Genomic DNA, 18,927 nt, shown 5'->3' on the forward strand with positions numbered 1-18,927 from the left:
CCATTCCATGGTTTAAAAAGAAGAATGGCAGTTTTATATTCTAGAATGCCTAATATATTTTTTACTCTAAACACAGTTTTATAAATGCACATACCATGTAATCTGGGTAACTGAAAACAAATTTCAGTGATCTCACAGTGCTTGCCAAACAAGGCATTTGTGCAGAAGGAGCACCATGGATAAACAAAGGTTTCCTTTGGTCTTCTTGGTAATGTCCCCTGGTATCAGATGCAAATGTTAATCTGGCTGCAGAAAAGAATAAACTTTGAAAGGGCTGCGTCCCAAGCAGTCAAGTGTCTTATCTTCCCAGAGCAACAAAATTGGTGGTATGGCATTAATCATATTAGTCTGTAACAATGAAATGTGCAAGGACTTTCTCCTCCTGGACATTTTGGGTCAGAGACCACAGTGCACACTGTAGTTGCCCGCCCTAGGTTGGCCTTGGCAGGCTGGTGTACTCATCCTGTAGTGGGTGTGGCACTGGCTCCTTAAGGCTCACAGCTGTTCCCTTCTTCAGAAAACTGCACTCAGCCATCTGGTCCAGGGGTTTATGCACTCACAGTGGGGCGGGTGGTGGTGGTGGTGGTGGTGAACCTGTAGCTGAGCATTTATAAGGCACTGCTTTGCATCCAGGGAGGTTCAACTGTGTGGTGCAATCCAGGCTCCAGAGCTCCAGGTGGGATCAGCCTGAGGCCACACTTCAGTGGAGACCACATCCTTGCTTGGTTCCTTCCCCTGTCCTCCCCTATTTTCCTCACTCCTCTCCTCTCAGGAACACACCCTCAATAAATCACATCTACCTGAGTCCCTGTCTCAGCTTTTGCTTTAGGGAATCTGACCTAAAACAGGTCTGGGCCTCTTCCGAGATTTCTGACAGTTACCAATTATGGGTTATTCTCTTAACTTTTATTCATACTTCAGGTTTTCCATAGTTATATGTAAGAGAATGATCGACTGAAAACTAATTGAATGCAATATTTTATTTTATTTTATTTATTTTTTTGAGACAGCGTCTTGCTCTGTCGCCCAGGCTGGATTGCAGTGGTGTGATCTTGTCTCACCGCAACCTCTGCCTCCCAGGTTCAAGTGATTCTTGTGTCTCAGCCTCCTGAGTAGCTGGGACCACAGGCATGTGCTGCTACACCTGACTAATTTTTGTATTTTCAGTAGAGACGGGGTTTCGCCATGTTGCCTAGTCTGGTCTTGAATACCTGGCCTCAAGTGGTCTGCTTGCCTCAGCCTCTTAAAGTGCTGGGATTATGGGTGTGAGTCACCATGCCCGGCCCAAATGCAATATTTTAAAATTAGTTCCAAATTATTTACTTATTGCATCTATCAAACATCCTTGTAATGATTTTATATACAAGTCTCTCTTCTGTACTAGGCTGAGAATTATTTTTTAATAAGGAACCATATTTTACACCCCAGGACCAGCATACTTCCTGGCCCATATATACTCAGTGAATGGGTGATGAGTGGATAATTTGGATGAATGCCTTTAGTACAGCGTCAAGTGATAATCTTTGGAATTTACAAAGTTTAGAAATATTTAGGATATAGATTGAAAATCAAGAGTATGTTGGCTTTTATAAATTTGGGTTTCCTGATTATTATAGTAACAGTAATATCCCTTAGTGATCTGGGACTTCATTAGTTTCTTCCATTCTCTTTAATTTGCTTGGGTTCCCAATTTTTGGCATTTCCCCCCCAAATTAAACCTATCAGATTTGATTTTCTTCCCTTTGTAACTCATATGTTGGTTAATGAGTACAGTTCTATTTAAAGTTCCTCAGTGGAGAAATGGATTATATAGTTAGGGAAATCATGACGGTTTAAAATTCCCAATTAAGAGTTTGTTTCTACTTTCTACTTTATTTCTACTATAATATGGTAGAATCTACCAGGTAGATCCTCTCACCTGAACTGTTACAGAGCTCTCTAGGTACAGGATTTATAACACCTTTGATTATGGTTGCCAGATGAAATGTGGCTGTAAAGTCTCTGTGCAACTACTCAACTCTGCCTTTTAGCTTGAAAGCAGCCATAGATGATATATAAACAAATGGGACTGGCGGTGGCCCAATAAAACTTCGTTGGGCTATAGTTTGCCAATTAAGTAATGATATTAGAAGATTCTCACAAATATACAAAAATGCAATTTTAACAAAGAAATTTTATTTTTATCCATGAAATTACTTTTTAAAAATCCCACACAATTCTATATAATTCTGTTGAAGGTGGGATGAAACTGGTACCTTCATACTGTACTAATGATCTTAAAAATTAATTGGGGAGGCTGGGCATTGTGGCTCATGCCTGTAATCCCAGCACTTTGGGAGGCTGAGGCAGGTGGATCACCTGAGGTCAGGAGTTTGAGACCAGCCTGGCCAATGTGGTGAAACCCCATCTCTACTAAAAATACAAAAATTAGCCAGGTGTGGTGGCGGGTGCCTGTAATCCCAGCTACTCGGGAAGCTGAAGCAGGAGAATTGCTTGCACTCAGGAGGCGGAGGTTGCAGTGAGCCGAGATTGTGCCACTGCACTGCAGCCTGGGTGACAGAGAAGATTCCGTCTCAAAACAGAAAAAAAATGAATTGGAAAATATGTTCCAGAAAATATTTTGACAAATTATTTCAAGAGCCATAACACCTTAGGTAAAGTAGGAAAATATTTTAAAATATTTTTAAAAATATGTATCAAATATACATAGTAGTAATATATATCAAATATATGTATATTTCAAATGTATCAAATATACATATGTATCAAACATGTATCAAATACACATAGTAGTAAAAAATAGAAGCAACTTATATGACCAGGAGTAGGGAAAATAGATAAGTAACTTAAGTAAATCTACTCAATGCTCAACTCTGCCAAGGGACAAGCCTGGGTCTGAAGGGCTGCACAGAGTAAGAAGTTTGGAAGGAATGCCCATTGCCCCACTCTGTGGGGGAAAGATGTTGGAAGAAGTCACTCAGGAAATATTATGCATGGTTTCTGAAGATAAGAAGACTACATACATACCATAAGAAAATGCTTATGATGAAGTGTGAGGTGAAAAAAATTGGCCTACAACATTGTATAAGCACTCTGATTTCAATGATACAAAAGTGTAGGATGTATAAAATGGGAACTTGGAAAATGATAATGATTAATGTGGTTGGATTTCTTCCCCACATTTCCTATACCAACAGTGTGCTGTCGTGGCTCAGGGCAGGGATGTGGAAGCAGGCTGGGTGGCTCTGATTCTGGACTCCTCACTCACTAGCTCTGTGACCCTGTCACAGCGTCACAGACCACTAGCTCTGTTCCATCATCTGTGAAATCATGAAAGTATACCTACCACACAGGGTTTCTGTGATTAAATAATATGTAAAACACTCCAAACCATTACTGGGACATACTGTTAAATAAGATTTGCAGATGCTATTAGGTGGCTTTTATAATTGAGCAAATACGTTTACATTTTTAAAGAAATATTTCACTAGTGAGTTTAAAAGTAGTTATAACGGTGCTTAGTAGCGAAGAAAGCACCCACAAAACTCTGTGATACTTACAGAGTCCACCAGGACATGTGAATGAGCGTGGGACTCTCCTTGCAAAGGCTGAGAAAAATAGACATCTATGGAATATTGTACATCTGGTTCTAAACAGATGGGTGTGGGAAGCAGCATGATTCTGTATTAAGAAAGATAAAGCAAAAATTCAGACCACAGAAATACAATTATATTAGCTAAATGGCCATAGTATTTGGTAGCATTGCACTTGTACTGGGCAGTGACCTCCACTGTGGGGCTGAGGCCAGTGTAGGTCTAGACCAGCACAGGTGGGTTGGTTGGATGGTAAAGTCACATTCAGATCCTCTGTGGCTCTTCCACAGGATTGTGCCAAGTAGCAAAGTCTGAGAAACTATTGGCTGTGGGTTGTTATGACAGCTCTGGGGAAAGGATGGTACAGAGGTCCTCATCCCGTCTCTCATGCTAACATCAACAGGATCTCAAAAAATCTCAAAAAAAAAATTTTTGCGGCAGGGCATGGTGGCTCACACCTGTAATCCCAGCACTTTGGGAGGCCAAGGTGGGCAGATCATGAGATCAGGAGTTTGAGACCAGCCTGGCCAATATGGTGAAACTCTGTCTCTACTAAAGATACAAAAAGTTAGCCAGGCGTGGTGGAATGCTCCTGTAATCCCAGCTACTCAGGAGGCTGAGGCAGGAGAATCACTTGAACCCAGCAGGCAGAGGTTGCAGTGAGCAGAGATCATGCCATTGCACTCTAGCCTGGGCAACAGGGCGAGACTCTGACTCAAAAAAAAAAAATTATTTTGCCACAAGTTTCTGCTGAGGCAAAATCAGTGGCCTCAAAATTAGCAGTCTTTTACTTCAAAGACTCTCATCTATTGAGAGTAATCAAGCTGAATGTTTTACTCTTGTTCTGGTTGCATTTTCCTTTCTTACATTTCAAAGCCACCTGGGGACCGGAAAAGGAACATTCAATATTTAGAGTCAGGATATCCTGGCTAGAATCCTGGTTCTGCTACACATTAGTGATGAGTTTTCAGTAAGTCTTTTAAGTACTCTCCTTCTCAATTTCTTCTTCATCTAACGAAGACAAAACCTGCCGTACTGAGTTGTTATGAAGATTAAAAGTGATATTAAATGTAAAGCATAGTGCAGCACCCAGTAAGTGCTTAATATATGTTATAGTTTTCTTCAGACCTCCTCTTTCTCCACTTAGTTCCCAGAAACAAATTACTGATAAGTGAACAAAATTCTAAGAAGCTTTCAATGTTTGAGGACCGGTCTGAAACATACCTCGTAGCCGCTGGTAAGGCAAAAGACTGAGGCTTTGACTGTAGAGTCTTGGGTATGCAGTGCTCACTCCCTCCAGGGGGGTTCACCACAATCTGGACAGTCCAGTCAGCTGCAGACTAGACAGGCATGACATTAAGGCATGTCACTGCAAGGATGCAGGAAAATGTTTTGCACGTACACACATATAGCTAATGGAAAGTGCATGGACTTGAATTTGCAACCCCTAGGCCACTTGGCAAAGAGTTTTGGAGTTGAAAGAGTCTTAGAGGTTCACTCTCAGGCCCAACTCTCTGATGCCTGAATTGTGATCCAGGCAGAAAAAGCATTGTTTCTCATGGGCTCATGAGCCTGGAAAAACCTTAACTCTCCTGACAAGCCTAATCCTCAACCCCCATTTCCCAGGGAGTTGACTCATTCATCATGGCTCTGGATCACAGAACAAATAATAATAATTTGGAATCCTTTACAAAAGGAATCTATATACTGGGGAGATATGCAAATTAGCTTTATTCTGAAGCCTTACAATTTGGAAAAGCTTTTTAAAGGTGTCAGGGCCATATTCTCTCTACAGATAAATTAATCTATGTATATTTTTAATGGCTTTCTTATCATATTCACTGAGCCAAAGTTCACTGAAGTTCCTTGGCTTTCACTTGTAAGTAAGAAATAGAGAATTATGTCCTATCACACATTTCAAAGCAGATCAGCTGCTCTAGGCATGTGATGCACCGTGGGAGCCTCCAGAATGTGGTCCCTAGTGGGGCTTGGGAGCCTCTAAGACCACACCCCCCTCCAGCCATATCAAACATGTTTCAAAGGAGATGTTCAGTGGGCTTCAGATCCAAAGGAAGGTTAGGAACTATTGGTGTAAATCAACTATTTTTCTAATTTGGCTTCTATTCTGTTTTAGATATTTCTTAAAAGGTGGGCGGCAGGGGGTCTACTAGTGGGAAACAAGAGGGGCAGTTTGCTTTTGGTCTTTCTCTTGTCGCAGGGTAAGATGCAAATGCAAACAAATGCTTCTGCTGCATCACCTGTGAGTCTGAATGTCTGCACATGTGTTGGTTTATTAAATTTTTAGAAGAAAAGTACCAGGAGGGCATGATTTGTGTTATTTTGGTTATTTTTCTTATACAAACAGTCACCACTTCCTTAAATCTGGTACCTTAAATCTGTAACTCCAGCTGTAGCTTCTCTCCATGGGATACAGCATGCATGCATATGGCTCACTGCGCTGCTTCAATATCTTTAGGAAACCCTTGGTTTATAATGCTCCCCAGATGTTCACTTTTTACAAATCCTTTTCTGATGAACCTATTCTAGCAAGGCTGAAATGGAAACAGTTCAAGAATGTATTTCTGTCAGCTTTTCACCACCAAAGTTGGAGAGTTAAAGGATACCTGGGTTTCATAGTGAATGGCAATGGTGAAGTCCACAGGAAAGGGAATGTTGTTGACAGCAAATCTCAAGCCAGCCCCAGGGAGAACCCTGGCAAATCCAGGTCCAGTCCATGTAACAGGGTTCCCAGGAACTGGCTCTCCTAAAACAACGTGAACAGCAGGACTCTGGCCAAACGTCTCCGAGCCCTAAAATGGGAGAGGAATGTAAATAGCTTTGCCTACAGTCAAGGCCTGAAAGAGTTCAAGAAAACCAGTCCCCCACTGCACCACCCCCTGTATTTCCTGGTGTGTATATGATTCATATGAGTCACAGATAAATTATTCTAAGCAGGATACAGTCCAGAATCCAGCTGAGAATAATGTGCTAATACTGCAGCTTTGGAACATATGTTACTGTATAGAATGATTGATTTGAAAGCAGTGTTCCGGGAAGCGACTTTAATTTTAAGTACCCCCTGTGCTAATGAACTGAGCAAATTCCACATTGATAACCTTGGGTTTTCTTGGATATGACTGCGGAGTTCTTCCCAAAATATGGAGGCTATTCCCATGCCCACTTTACAGATTTTGCCTAATTGGGCATGACAATGAGAAAACCCACATGGATTTATTTTCTAGATACTTCTTCCATGCAAAATGAGAAACGCTCTTCTTCTATCTGCTTGGGAGCATGTAAGTATAAAACTCCTAACATGATTAATTAGAATCCCTGACGGTCTCTATACTGGATGTCAGCCTGAGGCCATCTGGACCCTGTAGATAAAACCTCTTTAATTACTTTTGCTTCTGCCTCTCCACACTCACAGCCTCCGCTCAAATTCCTCTTCTTGTTACTTTTGCCTGTGTTGCTGCAATAGTCTCTTGGTGCTGCTCTCTTCTCTCTCTCTGGTCCAATATATATCATGTACTGCTGCCAACCAAGCATCTCAAACTCTTTCTAACTGCCAACAGAATAATGCCCAAGTTACTTAGCCTGGAGTTCTAGTTGCTCTGTGATCTACCCCAAACTGCCCTTCATTTGATAAATGTTTAGTAACAATTATGTGCCAGCTCCTGAATTAGGAATGCAAAATAAGTAGGACAGAGCCTCTGCCACAGAGGAGTTTAGAATCTCGCATCTGAGGCAGAAATGTAAATAAGAAATTGTGCTGTCAGATTGGGTTTTAATAGACAGAGGTATATGTAAAGTCATCAATATACAATGTTTTTCAAACATTTAAAAAAAAAAAAACCCCTTGTAAGGCTGGGTGCGGTGGCTCAGGCCTGTAATCCCAGCACTTTGGGAGGCCAAGGCGGGTGGATCACGAGGTCAGGAGTTAGAGACCAGCCTGGCCAACATGGTGAAATCCCGTCTCTACTAAAAATACAAAAATTATCTGGGAGTGGTGGTGTGCGCTTGTACTCCCAGCTACTTGGAAGGCTAAGACAGGAGAATCGCTTGAACCTGGGAGGCAGAGGTTGCAGTGAGTCGAGATCGCGCCACTGCACTCCAGCCTGGGCGACAGAGCGAGGAATAAAATAAAATAAAATAAAATACCCTTGCAATTGCAGTAGACACTGTAGGTGCCCCTCCCAGATCTCCTTTAGCTGTTTGGTGCACCCATCCCCCAGTTGCTCTGTGTGTGGCTGCTGACAGCTCACAGTTGACCCTTGCTCTGGAGGATTGCTCTTTCACATCTCCCTCCCTAACCAGCCAACACAGCCTCTGGGAGCTCACAGCCAATGACTGACTGATACAAGGCTGACCAGGTTGTCTCAAGGGGCAGGACAACTTTGCCTCCAGTGTATGCCCCTGAGCTCCTCTGAGGATCAATTCAAGGTTTGTTTTACCTGAGACCATGTCTCGCTCTGCTCTTTCCTTTTCTCTATCTTTTCTCCTTCACTCTCTTAAGAGTATTCCTGAAGAACATTTCCTTAATAAATCACTTGCAGTTGAATCCCATCTTAGGCTCTCCTAGGGCACCTGACTTGACATAATTAATGCCAGACAGTTTACCTAAAAGTAGATCCTAAGATGCAATTCTGGAGGTAGATAATTTACTGTTTGGCTGGCAGTGAGGGCCGTGGTGGGTGACATGCACTGATGATCCCTGGCATGATGTAATGATACAATTGCTAAAATTGTCACCTGTGGAGAAATGGGACAGAATACAGGCAGGGAAGGGGAGGCACTGACTTGAGCAGTATTTCTGGCACTGAAAGATATGGGAGGCATCTGCATCCTTTGATGTTCCAGTAAGAACTGTGGAAATGGGTGGCTGTTGTTGAATGTCTTTGATGAGAGAAAATGACAGGGTAAGGACAATCAATCACCAATGTAAAGCAAAGTGTGAAAATCAGAGGGCCTCCTTGGGGGCATGTTTAAAGAGACTCTCGTCTCCTTAAACTAGAGGGCAAGAAGAGCTGAATATTCTTCACAAGCATTAATTGTAAGAGTTGCAGAACTTCGGCCGGGTGAGGTGGCTCACGCCTGTAATCCTAGCACTTTGGGAGGCCGAGGTGGGTGGATCACGAGGTCAGGAGATTGAGACCACCTTGGCTAACACGGTGAAACCCCGTCTCTACTAAAAATACAAAAAGTTAGCTAGGCACGGTGGTGCGCACCTGTAGTCCCGGCTACTTGGGAGGCTGAGGCAGGAGAATGGTGTGAACCCGGAAGGCGGAGCTTGCAGTGAGCCAAAATAGCACCACTGCACTCCAGCCTGGGCGAAAGAGCGAGACTCCGTCTTAAAAAAAAAAAAAAAAAAAAAAGAGTCGCAGAACTTCAGAGAAGAGCCTGAATTACCAGCTTAGGTAAATTACTTCTACAAAGATAACTGTCTATTGGGGAAGGGGGTATACCCATAATCTTTCAGTATTAGTGGATACAGGATCTGAGCTTATGCTGATAACCAGGTATACAAAGTGCCACCATGGTCCCCTTGTTAGAATAGGGACATATGTGGGTCAGGTAATAAATGGACTGCTAGCCCAGGTGCCTTTCATAGTGATGTCACTGGATTTACAGAACCACCTATTGATAATTTTCTTCAATTCTTGAATATATATAATGGAATGAACCTGCTTTGCAGTTGGCACTGGTTCTTTGACCTGTGGGGTAAGAGCTCTTGTAGTAGGAAAAGCCAAATAAAATCTTGTAAAATGAGCCCCCTGCCCCACACCCAAGCCAAGACAGTACATAAAAACACTATTGCAAATCAGGGTCATCCTCAGAGTGCCACTCTCAAGACTTAAAGGATGAATTTGTGGTGGTTCCCATCATATCCCCATTTAAAGCACCAGTCTTGTTTCTGCAGTCATTGGATGGATCACTGGCAGACGGAAGTCAATTACCACAAATTTAACCGTGGTATAGTCCCACTTGCAGCTGTTGGGTTGGATGGAGTGTCTTTACTAGAGCAGATTAATACAGCCTCTGGAACATGCTATGTAGATATTGATATGCAAAAATGTTTTCTCTTCCATACTTTTAAGGAAAAAGGAACATCGTCAATCCTTTGATGTTTCTACATTGTCTGCAAATGTGGTGGGGTGGAATAGTCGGGCTCCATTTTCCAACAAGGGCAAGTGGGTTCCTTCTGTAGTCTGAAAGTGCTGAGGAGAATACTTGGGAGGGTAAGAGTGTATGTTCACAGTCTTGCTCCGGGCCTATTTTAATTCTCTTGTTCTCTGTCACAATATAGCCCAAAAGGATCTGGACCATCCATATATTCTATGAAATACCACATTAATCCCCTACATTGAGGGCTAGTGAAGTGGGTGCCTTGACCCAAGTTGCTATTACATGGCTTCCTACAGTGAGAACCAGCCATTCTATGGCCTTGGCAGCACTCTTTTCTGAGGGCCGATTCACCAAGGTGGGAAAACGTAATATCCCCTCTGCACAATAGATCCACTTTCCAGCAAAACAAGTTCAGCCATGGTCATGCGATTTTGGGATTCACTGCCCTTACACAAACCATACTATCTGGAAGATGCTGATCTGAGATGGCAGTGGAATGGGGCCCCTTAAAGATGCAGCTGAAGCATTAGCTTCACAAACTTGGAAATGAAACCCCAGGAGATGGGCCAGCGTTCTTTGGGAAGTTATGTACTCCTTAAATGAAGGCATTTATTTGATGCTGTGTCCCTAACAGATAGAATACATGGGCTTGGGAGAACCAAGTAGGATTAGCCATGCCCACTACCACTCCCAGTGACCATGGTAATCTGGGCTTCTTGTCACTGTAACATTAGGCTCTGTGGGTCTAGAGGTCTTGATTCTTGGAGGGGGACAGAGTTCCTTCTGCTAATCTTACAGCTATGGCTGCTACATGGTCTCTTGGGCTCCTCATGCCAGCAGACCAGTAGTCACAAGAAGGAATTATCATAACTATAGGGCTGTGGCTATATCATGGGGACACGAGGAATATGTATGGCACTGAGGTGATCCACTGGGGCACATTTAGTGCTCCCATACATGTGGTCTGATAAGGCATGCAATGCAGGGGCTCCAGCCCATGAGGGATGAGAGTGTGAGTCATCTCATTCAGAAGTGCCAGTTGAGGATAAGGGGAATCTAGAATGTGTAGAGAGGAGGGAGGGAGATGGTACCAATTATAGCCTTGGTACCAACTGCAGCAGCCAGAGGCTGTAGTTTGTCTCACTAGTGTCATTTTGTAAATTTCCTCAGGAATTATGACTCATCAGAATCCTGGAGAACCTGTGCCTGCATGGAGTGAACTTAATGTAAGAAGCAAATGGACAGGGCCAGCTTCATGGTTACCTAGGAGCACCCCCAACCCCCTAAAGAAAGCCCCCATGCTTGATTTAATGCTTTGCTGTCACCATCTTGATATAGTTAATAATTTTATTTCTTTGAACTTGTTCTGTAAGTGAAATTTTTTGCGACAGTGGAGCATGCACGTGAGCAGAAGAGATATGCGCATCATGTATGTCTGCTTCCTTGTTGACCCATTTGCAGATAGTGCACAACACGGGCCAATGAACACAGAATTCTGGTGGACCTACTATGCCTGGGATTTCAGTGAGACTCAAAGTGAGTGCAAGGTAAGTGTGTTACTAACGTGATCGAGTTAGCAGGAGTGCCGATAGCCCCAAGAAGCCAAGCTTTCTGTTAGAACCAGACTTGTTTTGAATGCAGAAAGAAAGGCATTCCAAGAAACATAAACAACCAAGGAATCCTTTTTTTTTTTTTTTTTTTTTTTTTGAGACAGGGTCTCGCTCTTGACCTCCTGGGCTCAAGTGATCCTCCCACCTCAGCCTACTGAGTAGTTGGGACCACCAGCACACATCATCACACCCAGCCAATTTTTTATTTTTTTTGCAGAGATGGGGTCTCAAATCTAGTCTAGTCTCAAACTCCTGGGCTCAAGTAATCCTCCCATCTCAGCCTCCCAAAGTGCTGGGATCACAAGTGTGAGCAACCATGCCAGGCCCCATATATTTTCTTATTCATGTGACTTCCCTGCGTTAGCCAACTACTTCCACTGAAAAGGATGACTAGAAGGAAAGAGAAAGACAGGACAACGCACAGTTTCATTTCCTTTCAGTCCTTCCTTACTCATCAATATGCTGAAGGTAGAGTGTTGGTTGAACACATAGCAGGAAGTGAAATGAAAACAGTTGACTTAGTTTTGTGCAGTGTTCTCACAGTTCTGTTAAGAATGAAATACATATGTATATATGACTACAAATTGACAATGTGAATATGAATACAAATTTTGTAATTTCAGTGATTCCATGTGTGAGTTGAAATGTTCTTATGTTTGCAGTTAAAACTGGCACTGCACTCTGCAAAGATGAATGGTACAATTCATACTAATAATTTTAAATTTTAATATATCTTTACATAGAATGACATTGAACGGCAAATAACAAAATGCTCTGACAAACTGAGAGAAAGACCATGAAAGAAAGTATAAAGCTTTATATGTTAGTACTTTCAATGGCCCTTTGTTTCCTTCTGGTTTTAGAACACAAGCTCTGCATTGTTATTTTTTTATTTTTATGTATTTATTTATTTTTTTTTGAGATGGAGTCTCGCTCTGTCACCCAGGCTGGAGTGCAGTGGCACAATCTTGGCTCACTGCAAGCTCTGCCTCCCGGGTTCACGCCATTCTCCTGCCTCAGCCTCCCAAGTAGCTGGGACTACAGGCGCCCACCACCACACCCAGCTAATTTTTTGTATTTTTAATAGAGACGGGGTTTCACCTTGTTAGCCAGGATGGTCTCGATCTCCTGACCTCATGATCCTCCTGTCTTGGCCTCCCAAAGTGCTGGGATTACAGGCGTGAGCCACTGCGCCCGGCCCTGCATTTTTATTTTGCACTGGGCCCTGCAGGTGGGTCAGAGCATGCAATGAGTAGGTGTTGTAGGTGCTGTTGTTCTGCTGCCAGATCCCCTTTACTGGGTTAGTGCATGCAGCTGCCAGCTCCTGGGACTGTTGCTGCTATGGCTCCCGACTGACCCCTTCTTTTGGGCCTTGCTGTTGGCTGATGAGAGCCACCTCACCTGGAAGGTTACCTGCATCTGCCCTGGCAGTCCAGCACCAACGACTGACTGATGCAGGAACGCAACAGGCCAGCCCTGTGCCTCAGTGGGTGACAACTCTGTGGTGCAATTTATGCTTCAGAGCTTCCCTGGGGGATGAGACCCAAAGCTAAACTTGACCCTCGACCCCATACCTGCCTCCCCCTTTCTCATTTCCTAGCCTACTTCCCTCACTCCATTATAGGCTTTTCTTGACATACATTCCCTCAATAAAACACATGCACCTGAATCCCTGCTGTCATCTGCTTCCAGGAACCCAATCTAAGACAGTGACACTGTACACATGCACACATACACACATTTATATAAAACTGAAAAAAATTTCACAAAAATATGACTATTTTGTATTCTTCTCTTGTACTAAACTGACCCACTAAACTGGTCCCATGGCCTACTTATTAACTGGCATGGCCCGCAATTTGAAAAATTATGGCTGTATGGAACCCCAGAGATGGAAACAATTATGTCCAGATGTCAGGGTAGGAAATGTCAGAGAAAAATCTGAGTTGGGCTTTAAGGGATGAGAAGAAGTTTTCCCAATGAATAACACAGATGTGGTCATTTCAAGAAAGAGAGGAGCATGTTGTGGATGCTTAAAGCAAGGTTTCTCAGAGTGCTGTCATGAACCACCCATATTAGAATCACCTTGGGGCACATGGCAAACACCCAGGTTTCTTGGCCAGCCTCAGATTCCCGGATGTGGTATCTCCCAAGGGTCAAATCTGGATTTTAAATAAACTCCCTAGGTAACATGCACAGTAAAAATTGAGGATCACTGAGGGAATTAGGGGAGGGGACTAGCGACTCATTCCCCAGTCTCCTCTTTCAGGTGGACTTCAGATTGTGGAGAGCCACTTCTAGCCTAGAAGTCAGAGAAGGCCTCGTGGGGCTGTAGCATAGGAAGAGAAACAAGTAGGAGAAAGCAAGTCCCCATGACTGGCACACATGATCCTGGTAGGGGGAGCAATGTCCACGAAGCCTTCTCTGAAATTCTCAGCTGGGGTATTTCTCCATAATCTGAAGTCCATATCATGTTACATGCAGCTGTTTCATGACCCTTAGCCCCCACCACCACACATTAGCCATTTGTGTCCATGGCTCCTTCCCACTACAATGAGGGCAGGCTCCATGTTTAAGTGTTTCTGTTTTCTTTCATTCAGCCATTTTATTCACTTGAGAAGGTCTCTTATGTGTAAGAGGTACTGGCTTTGGGAACAAGACAGCCAACGTCTGCTTTCATTTGCTTCTCCAACATACTCATTTGTGCATATGCACACAGGAAGGCTCAGTAAAAAATCTCAGTAAAGCTAATAAATGAAGGAATGAACTAACCTAAAAACAAGCCTACAGTGGCTCTGACTTTCGTGAATAACAAGGGATGGCTACAAGGTCTTCTGGACTCTTTGGAGCTTCTGTAGCCATGGGAGGCTGGGCCGTGAGGAAGTGGCATCTCTCTGCCACTGATGCCAGCACTGACCAACTGCAACTTTCTCAAAGTCTGAGGCACAGCTACAGCACCAACCCAGAGCCATCAGTGTGTCTTTCCTTCTCCATGTAAGAGGAGAGCCACTCCTCAGCATTTACCTCTCCTTACTAAAATGACAAGAAATCGTGAATTCACAGTGTTCAACTCTCTAACCCTTCAGAACCCAGATTTCTAGAAATTACTTGTTTTGCAAAGAAATAAAGCTATTGATGTTTTTCCCCAGAGGCTCTGATTTCTTTGGGCTTGGTTTTTCCTTTCCTCCATTTCTATTCATGAGGGTAATAAGAGCTTTTACTAACTGAGTACATGCATGGACCAAGCACAGTTGTAAGTGCATTCATTACCATATCATTCATTTACGGCATGTGACTGTGGCCATTCATGAATGGTTTACCTCACTCTGCTCATCAGCATGTAAGCTTTGCTTCTGATTTCTCTTCAGTATTATCTTTTCTTTGTCAATTATGAAATCACTTCCTTGTTGCTGGAAATACACATCACATTCCATGCAAAGCTGTTGCTAAAATCTTTTTTTTTTTTTTGGGAGAGAGTCTCCCTCTGTCACCCAGGCTGGAGTGCAATAGCACGATCTCAGCTCACTGCAACCTCTGCCTCCTGGGTTTAAGTGATTCTTGTGTCTCAGCCTCCCAAGTAGCTGGGACTACAGGCGTGTGCCACCACGCCCAGCTAATTTTTGTATTTTTAGTAGAGACGGGGTTTCGCCTTGGTTGGCCAGGCTAGTCTCAAACTCCTGACCTCAGGTGACCTGCTCGCCTCGGCCTCTCAAAGTGCTGGGATTACAGGCATGAGCCACCATGCCTGGCCTAACATCTTAAAAAGAAATGACAGTTTAAGTACCCATCAGAAGTATTAATTATACCACGGACCAAGAAGTTCAGATTATTCCACCAATGAGCCATGGAGAAAGTTAATTGTAATTCTTCTTAGTTCTGCAGTTAGAATGTTGAAACAATTCTTCATAAGATGCAGTTGGGTTTGCTTTTATTCTTATTCATAGTTTCATCTCCAACCTTTCTCTTCTCTCTGTTACCTCTTAACTTAGGTCCTTATTTGTTCCTGTCTGGACTAGTGTAGTCTGTCCAGAAATGGGCTTCACTTCTGTTAGATTAAGTTTGTAAGAACACTGAGGATGGCCTCTGTCACATTATTCTCTTGCACAGAAGGTGTATGGTGAACTCATCTGACAGCAATAACTTAAGCATACCCTGAGAATGACCCTATGGTCTAAAAGGAATGTGTGTTTAGAGTTCCCAGCTAAGGAATCTGGGAGTAGCCAACCTGGAGATTCATTCCTTATCTCTGAGGAACATCTGAACCTCTGGCCTATCCTATGGAATACAGGCCATACAGGGGTTTGAGGCCCTTTGTTTTGGGTTAAATGAAGGTTGCATAGAAGAGGTTGCTAGGGGGAGGGCACTAAGTGAAAATGCTATATAAACTACACTTTTTTTTATAGCAGTACTCCTGTCTAGCCTGCTGCCAATGGACCCCCTGTATGTAAGTTCCCTCAATCATCCCTATGTCTCATTCTCTGGCTCTGGGTGTCTTCTTCAGTCTCTTTGAACATGGTGCAGTATCTACTGAGGTCAATAGGGGCCCAGCATGACAGAAGGCTTCAATGAGTTCTCAATGCCCAAAAAATAAAGTTTAGCCTCTTTAGCAGGACACTATAATTTTATTTTACAATAGTTCTTCTCTATTTACACTCCCTGCTGTACCTGTGACTATACCTGCCTTGGTTCTCCTCTGAATTGTTATTTATAACTTGCTCTGGCTAGACTGTCTTCTCATAAAGTCTCACTCATGGCTTAGAAATCCTAATATACTTACTGATTCTCCTTATCATTTGCACTGGCCCATCCTAAGCTATCTATGTAAATGTGTTAGCTGTAGTAAAAACTCCTAGAGCCAGTGACCCTAACTAATCCTTATCTATACCATCCTTAGCCTGGAGCTCAGCTTTGTGTGCACATTGTACAACATCTTAATGGGTTAAGAGTAAGAGTTGTGTTTGTTTTTTTGAGACATGGTCTTGCTCTGTTACCTAGGCTAGAGTACAGTGGTGCGACCACAGCTCACTGCAGCCTCAACCTCCCAGGCCCAAACTATCCTTCTACCTCAGCTTCCTGAGTAGCTGGGATTGAAGGCATGTGCCACCATACCCAACTATTTTTTGTCATTGTTTTTGTAGATATGGGACCTCACTATGTTGTCCAGGCTGGTCTTAAACTCCTGGACTCAAGTGATCCTGCCTTGGCCTCCCAAAGTGCTGGGGTTACAGATGTGAGCTACTGTGCCTGGCCAAGAGTAAGAGTTTTGAAACCAGATGCACCTGGGTTTCAATCCAGTCTCCCCCAACCCCACTATCTACTAGATGTATGACTTTGAGTGACTTACCTAACCTCTCTAATGTTTTTTCCTCATCTGGGAATTAGGGATAATAGATTATTTGGAGAGTTAAATGAGATAATGTATGTAAAGTGCAAAGCATAGCACATTAAATACATGGAATATTAATAATACAGCAACAGTAACAGCATAGCAAGCATACCATGAAATTTCATTTATGAATGTGCAAATAATTAAATGTTAACCAACTTAAATCTTTTCTACTACAATTAAAGATCATACCCTCAGCAGAGAACGAAAATTATTCACATTATTGCCCTTTAAACTCTTAATATCAATCCCACCTTGAATGCTTTTTCTTTTGTCATAGGTATTATTTTCTAACTTGTTAAGAAAAATTCACCTGCCCTTTAAACCTATTCCATGTCCTGGATATTTTTCCTTAAGCCATGGAGGGAGTAGTAAGGGTTCATATCATGCATGATATAACCCCCCTCACAAATGAAATCAGCATTGTTTCAGATGCTTTACTTACAACCCCTGGCTCAGAGCCGTATTGGCATACTTGATATTATTCTATTTAATTGGTAATAGGATAAACATTTGTTCAGTATGTGCCGTGCTGGGGGTGCTACAACCATCTATTTTAGATAATTATGTTTATTCTGTTTTCCCATCTAAAAAGTGAGACCTAGTTATGACCTAAACAGAAATACTCATACTTCTTTCTAAAATTGTTTTTTCAGTCACCATCATAAAGATTCAATATTCAAGACCACGAAGAAGAACCCAGACCAGGGATTGCTTCATTTGGATTCCACCTACCGCAGTTGTTACATCTAAGTAGGGACAACGAAAATCTCCTGCTATGGTCTTGATCCTAGTCAGTAAAAGAGCAAATTCCAAGCCTCCTAAGGGGCATTTTCATCCTTCCCCATCTGTCCTTACAGATAAGGAAGAGATTCCAGGAATGACTCGGTTCCTGGAACCTAGAATTAGTCCCCCTTGTTTTCTTTATCTATCCAAATCCTGTCTTAGGGATCAACTTTCACAAGCTTTCTCTCCTTAAAGACTTTCACCTCGAATTACCTTTTTTTTTTGTCATATTCCTATTCCTATCTGGAGTCACACTCTTGAGAACCTTCTATACTTTCGTCATGCATTTATTAGCAGATATCTATAAAGTTCCTACAGTGTGTCAGGCACTGTGCTAGGCGCTAGTGCAACAATGATGAATGCTATACACATCCACCTCACCCTTTTATAGTTTATAGTATCATGGGGAGATGGAGAAGTAGATGCTCAATAAACACATTTTGTCTGATGGGTATACCTTGAAACAGCAAAAGTAAAGTCTGTTTCATCATAATTTGATCCGTTCACATTTATGGGCCAGATCCTGTGGTAGACCTGGGATACAAAGATGAACTAAACAGAGACTCTGCTCTCAAGAGTTTATATAATCTGCATTTGCAGGTTATAATAAACTCTGATCTGCATCTTTGGGCAAAAGCATTCTTTTCTAGGTATCTTAACCACGATCTCAAGTATGTGCTCTGTGTGTTTACTGACATATCATCAAACACAGTCTGTAGGGAAAGTAAATGAAATACGAACCAAAGGCGCCAGTCCTTGGAGTGTTGTGGCTTCCTCTGCCTCGTAGAGATAGAAATTCAAAGGAGCAAAGAAGTAGCCAGGGGCTGGTTCAGAGCAGCTACGGCCAGTGACATGTGGGCGGCATTCACACTGCCCATTCTTGGGTGAGCACCTGAGGAAAAAGCAATTCATCATGAAAAAATGCAAAGTAGGTGAGCGGAAAATGAAGGTGTAGGGGTGCTGGGCTAATGCTCCCTGAGTTTGGAGCAATCCTTAGAATCAGTCAATCAATGGTCCTGTGGGAAGATGCAGAAAGGCCATGGGTTTAACATAACTGGTCTTGAATAGTGAATCCAGGGCCATGGAGCCCAGGCGGCCACTTTCCCCACCCTCCGCCCCCAACCCCCCACTGCCAGGTTCTGCTCTAAAATCTGGCAAAAAGGGGGCTTTAGGATCTCTCTTTACAACATGGCAAAAAGCTGGTGTTTTAGGCAGGTCACACGTATTCAAGCACCCATGCCACCAGCTTGTGGTGGGATACCCAGCAGAAGGATTGTTTACCTCACCCTTGGAAATATTTGAAGTGAAAGAAATCAATGGGCTGTAGTTAATGTCTCAAGATCATTGCTTGTCATGGAATGAAATTTTTCACCTATGACTATGAGCGTATCAGAATAAAATGTGCTTTTATGTTTAAATAAGGAAT

General features: G+C 42.8%; 1 protein-coding gene and 1 long non-coding RNA gene across 14 annotated transcripts in view, besides 2 other annotated features; one reads left to right on the forward strand and one right to left on the reverse strand.

Moving 5' to 3' along the window:
• LAMB4 (laminin subunit beta 4) overlaps nucleotides 1-18,927 on the reverse strand; it is a 118,700-nt gene that overhangs the window by 61,722 nt on the left and 38,051 nt on the right. For 11 of the 12 annotated variants that reach the window (XR_927421.2, XR_927422.2, XM_011515975.2 and 8 more), the window contains exons 14-17: nucleotides 18,243-18,393; nucleotides 6,218-6,403; nucleotides 4,818-4,933; nucleotides 3,561-3,681 (exon numbers count right to left, since the gene is read on the reverse strand). Coding sequence is in view for 10 of the 12 variants with exons in the window: in XM_011515975.2 (XP_011514277.1) it covers nucleotides 3,561-3,681; nucleotides 4,818-4,933; nucleotides 6,218-6,403; nucleotides 18,243-18,393 (574 nt within the window). In the remaining 2 variants the exon portion in view is untranslated. Of the gene's footprint in view, nucleotides 1-2,153; nucleotides 2,550-3,560; nucleotides 3,682-4,817; nucleotides 4,934-6,217; nucleotides 6,404-18,242; nucleotides 18,394-18,927 lie in introns of those variants that run through there. The other variant, NM_001318048.2, reaches the window with a different exon arrangement.
• Nucleotides 4,153-4,712: an enhancer, noted in NCBI's record as "OCT4-NANOG hESC enhancer chr7:107717981-107718540 (GRCh37/hg19 assembly coordinates)". NCBI's record gives its function as "activates a minimal SCP1, AML or CMV promoter by ChIP-STARR-seq in primed H9 embryonic stem cells {active_cell/tissue: H9 hESC(primed)}" and the evidence as "EXISTENCE:reporter gene assay evidence [ECO:0000049][PMID:30033119]".
• On the forward strand, nucleotides 6,610-18,926 carry LOC105375446 (uncharacterized). Of its 2 annotated transcripts, none has more exons than XR_001745318.2 (3): nucleotides 6,610-6,889; nucleotides 11,181-11,266; nucleotides 17,372-18,926. It is a non-coding gene; the product is annotated as an uncharacterized LOC105375446 (long non-coding RNA). The 2 variants fall into 2 exon arrangements; XR_927852.2 differs by lacking the exon at nucleotides 6,610-6,889 and adding an exon at nucleotides 10,888-10,945.
• Nucleotides 15,989-16,490: an enhancer, noted in NCBI's record as "H3K27ac hESC enhancer chr7:107729817-107730318 (GRCh37/hg19 assembly coordinates)". NCBI's record gives its function as "activates a minimal SCP1, AML or CMV promoter by ChIP-STARR-seq in primed H9 embryonic stem cells {active_cell/tissue: H9 hESC(primed)}" and the evidence as "EXISTENCE:reporter gene assay evidence [ECO:0000049][PMID:30033119]".

This window comes from Homo sapiens, chromosome 7 (genome assembly GCF_000001405.40).
Source record: "Homo sapiens chromosome 7, GRCh38.p14 Primary Assembly".
Classification (NCBI taxonomy): Eukaryota; Metazoa; Chordata; class Mammalia; order Primates; family Hominidae; genus Homo; species Homo sapiens.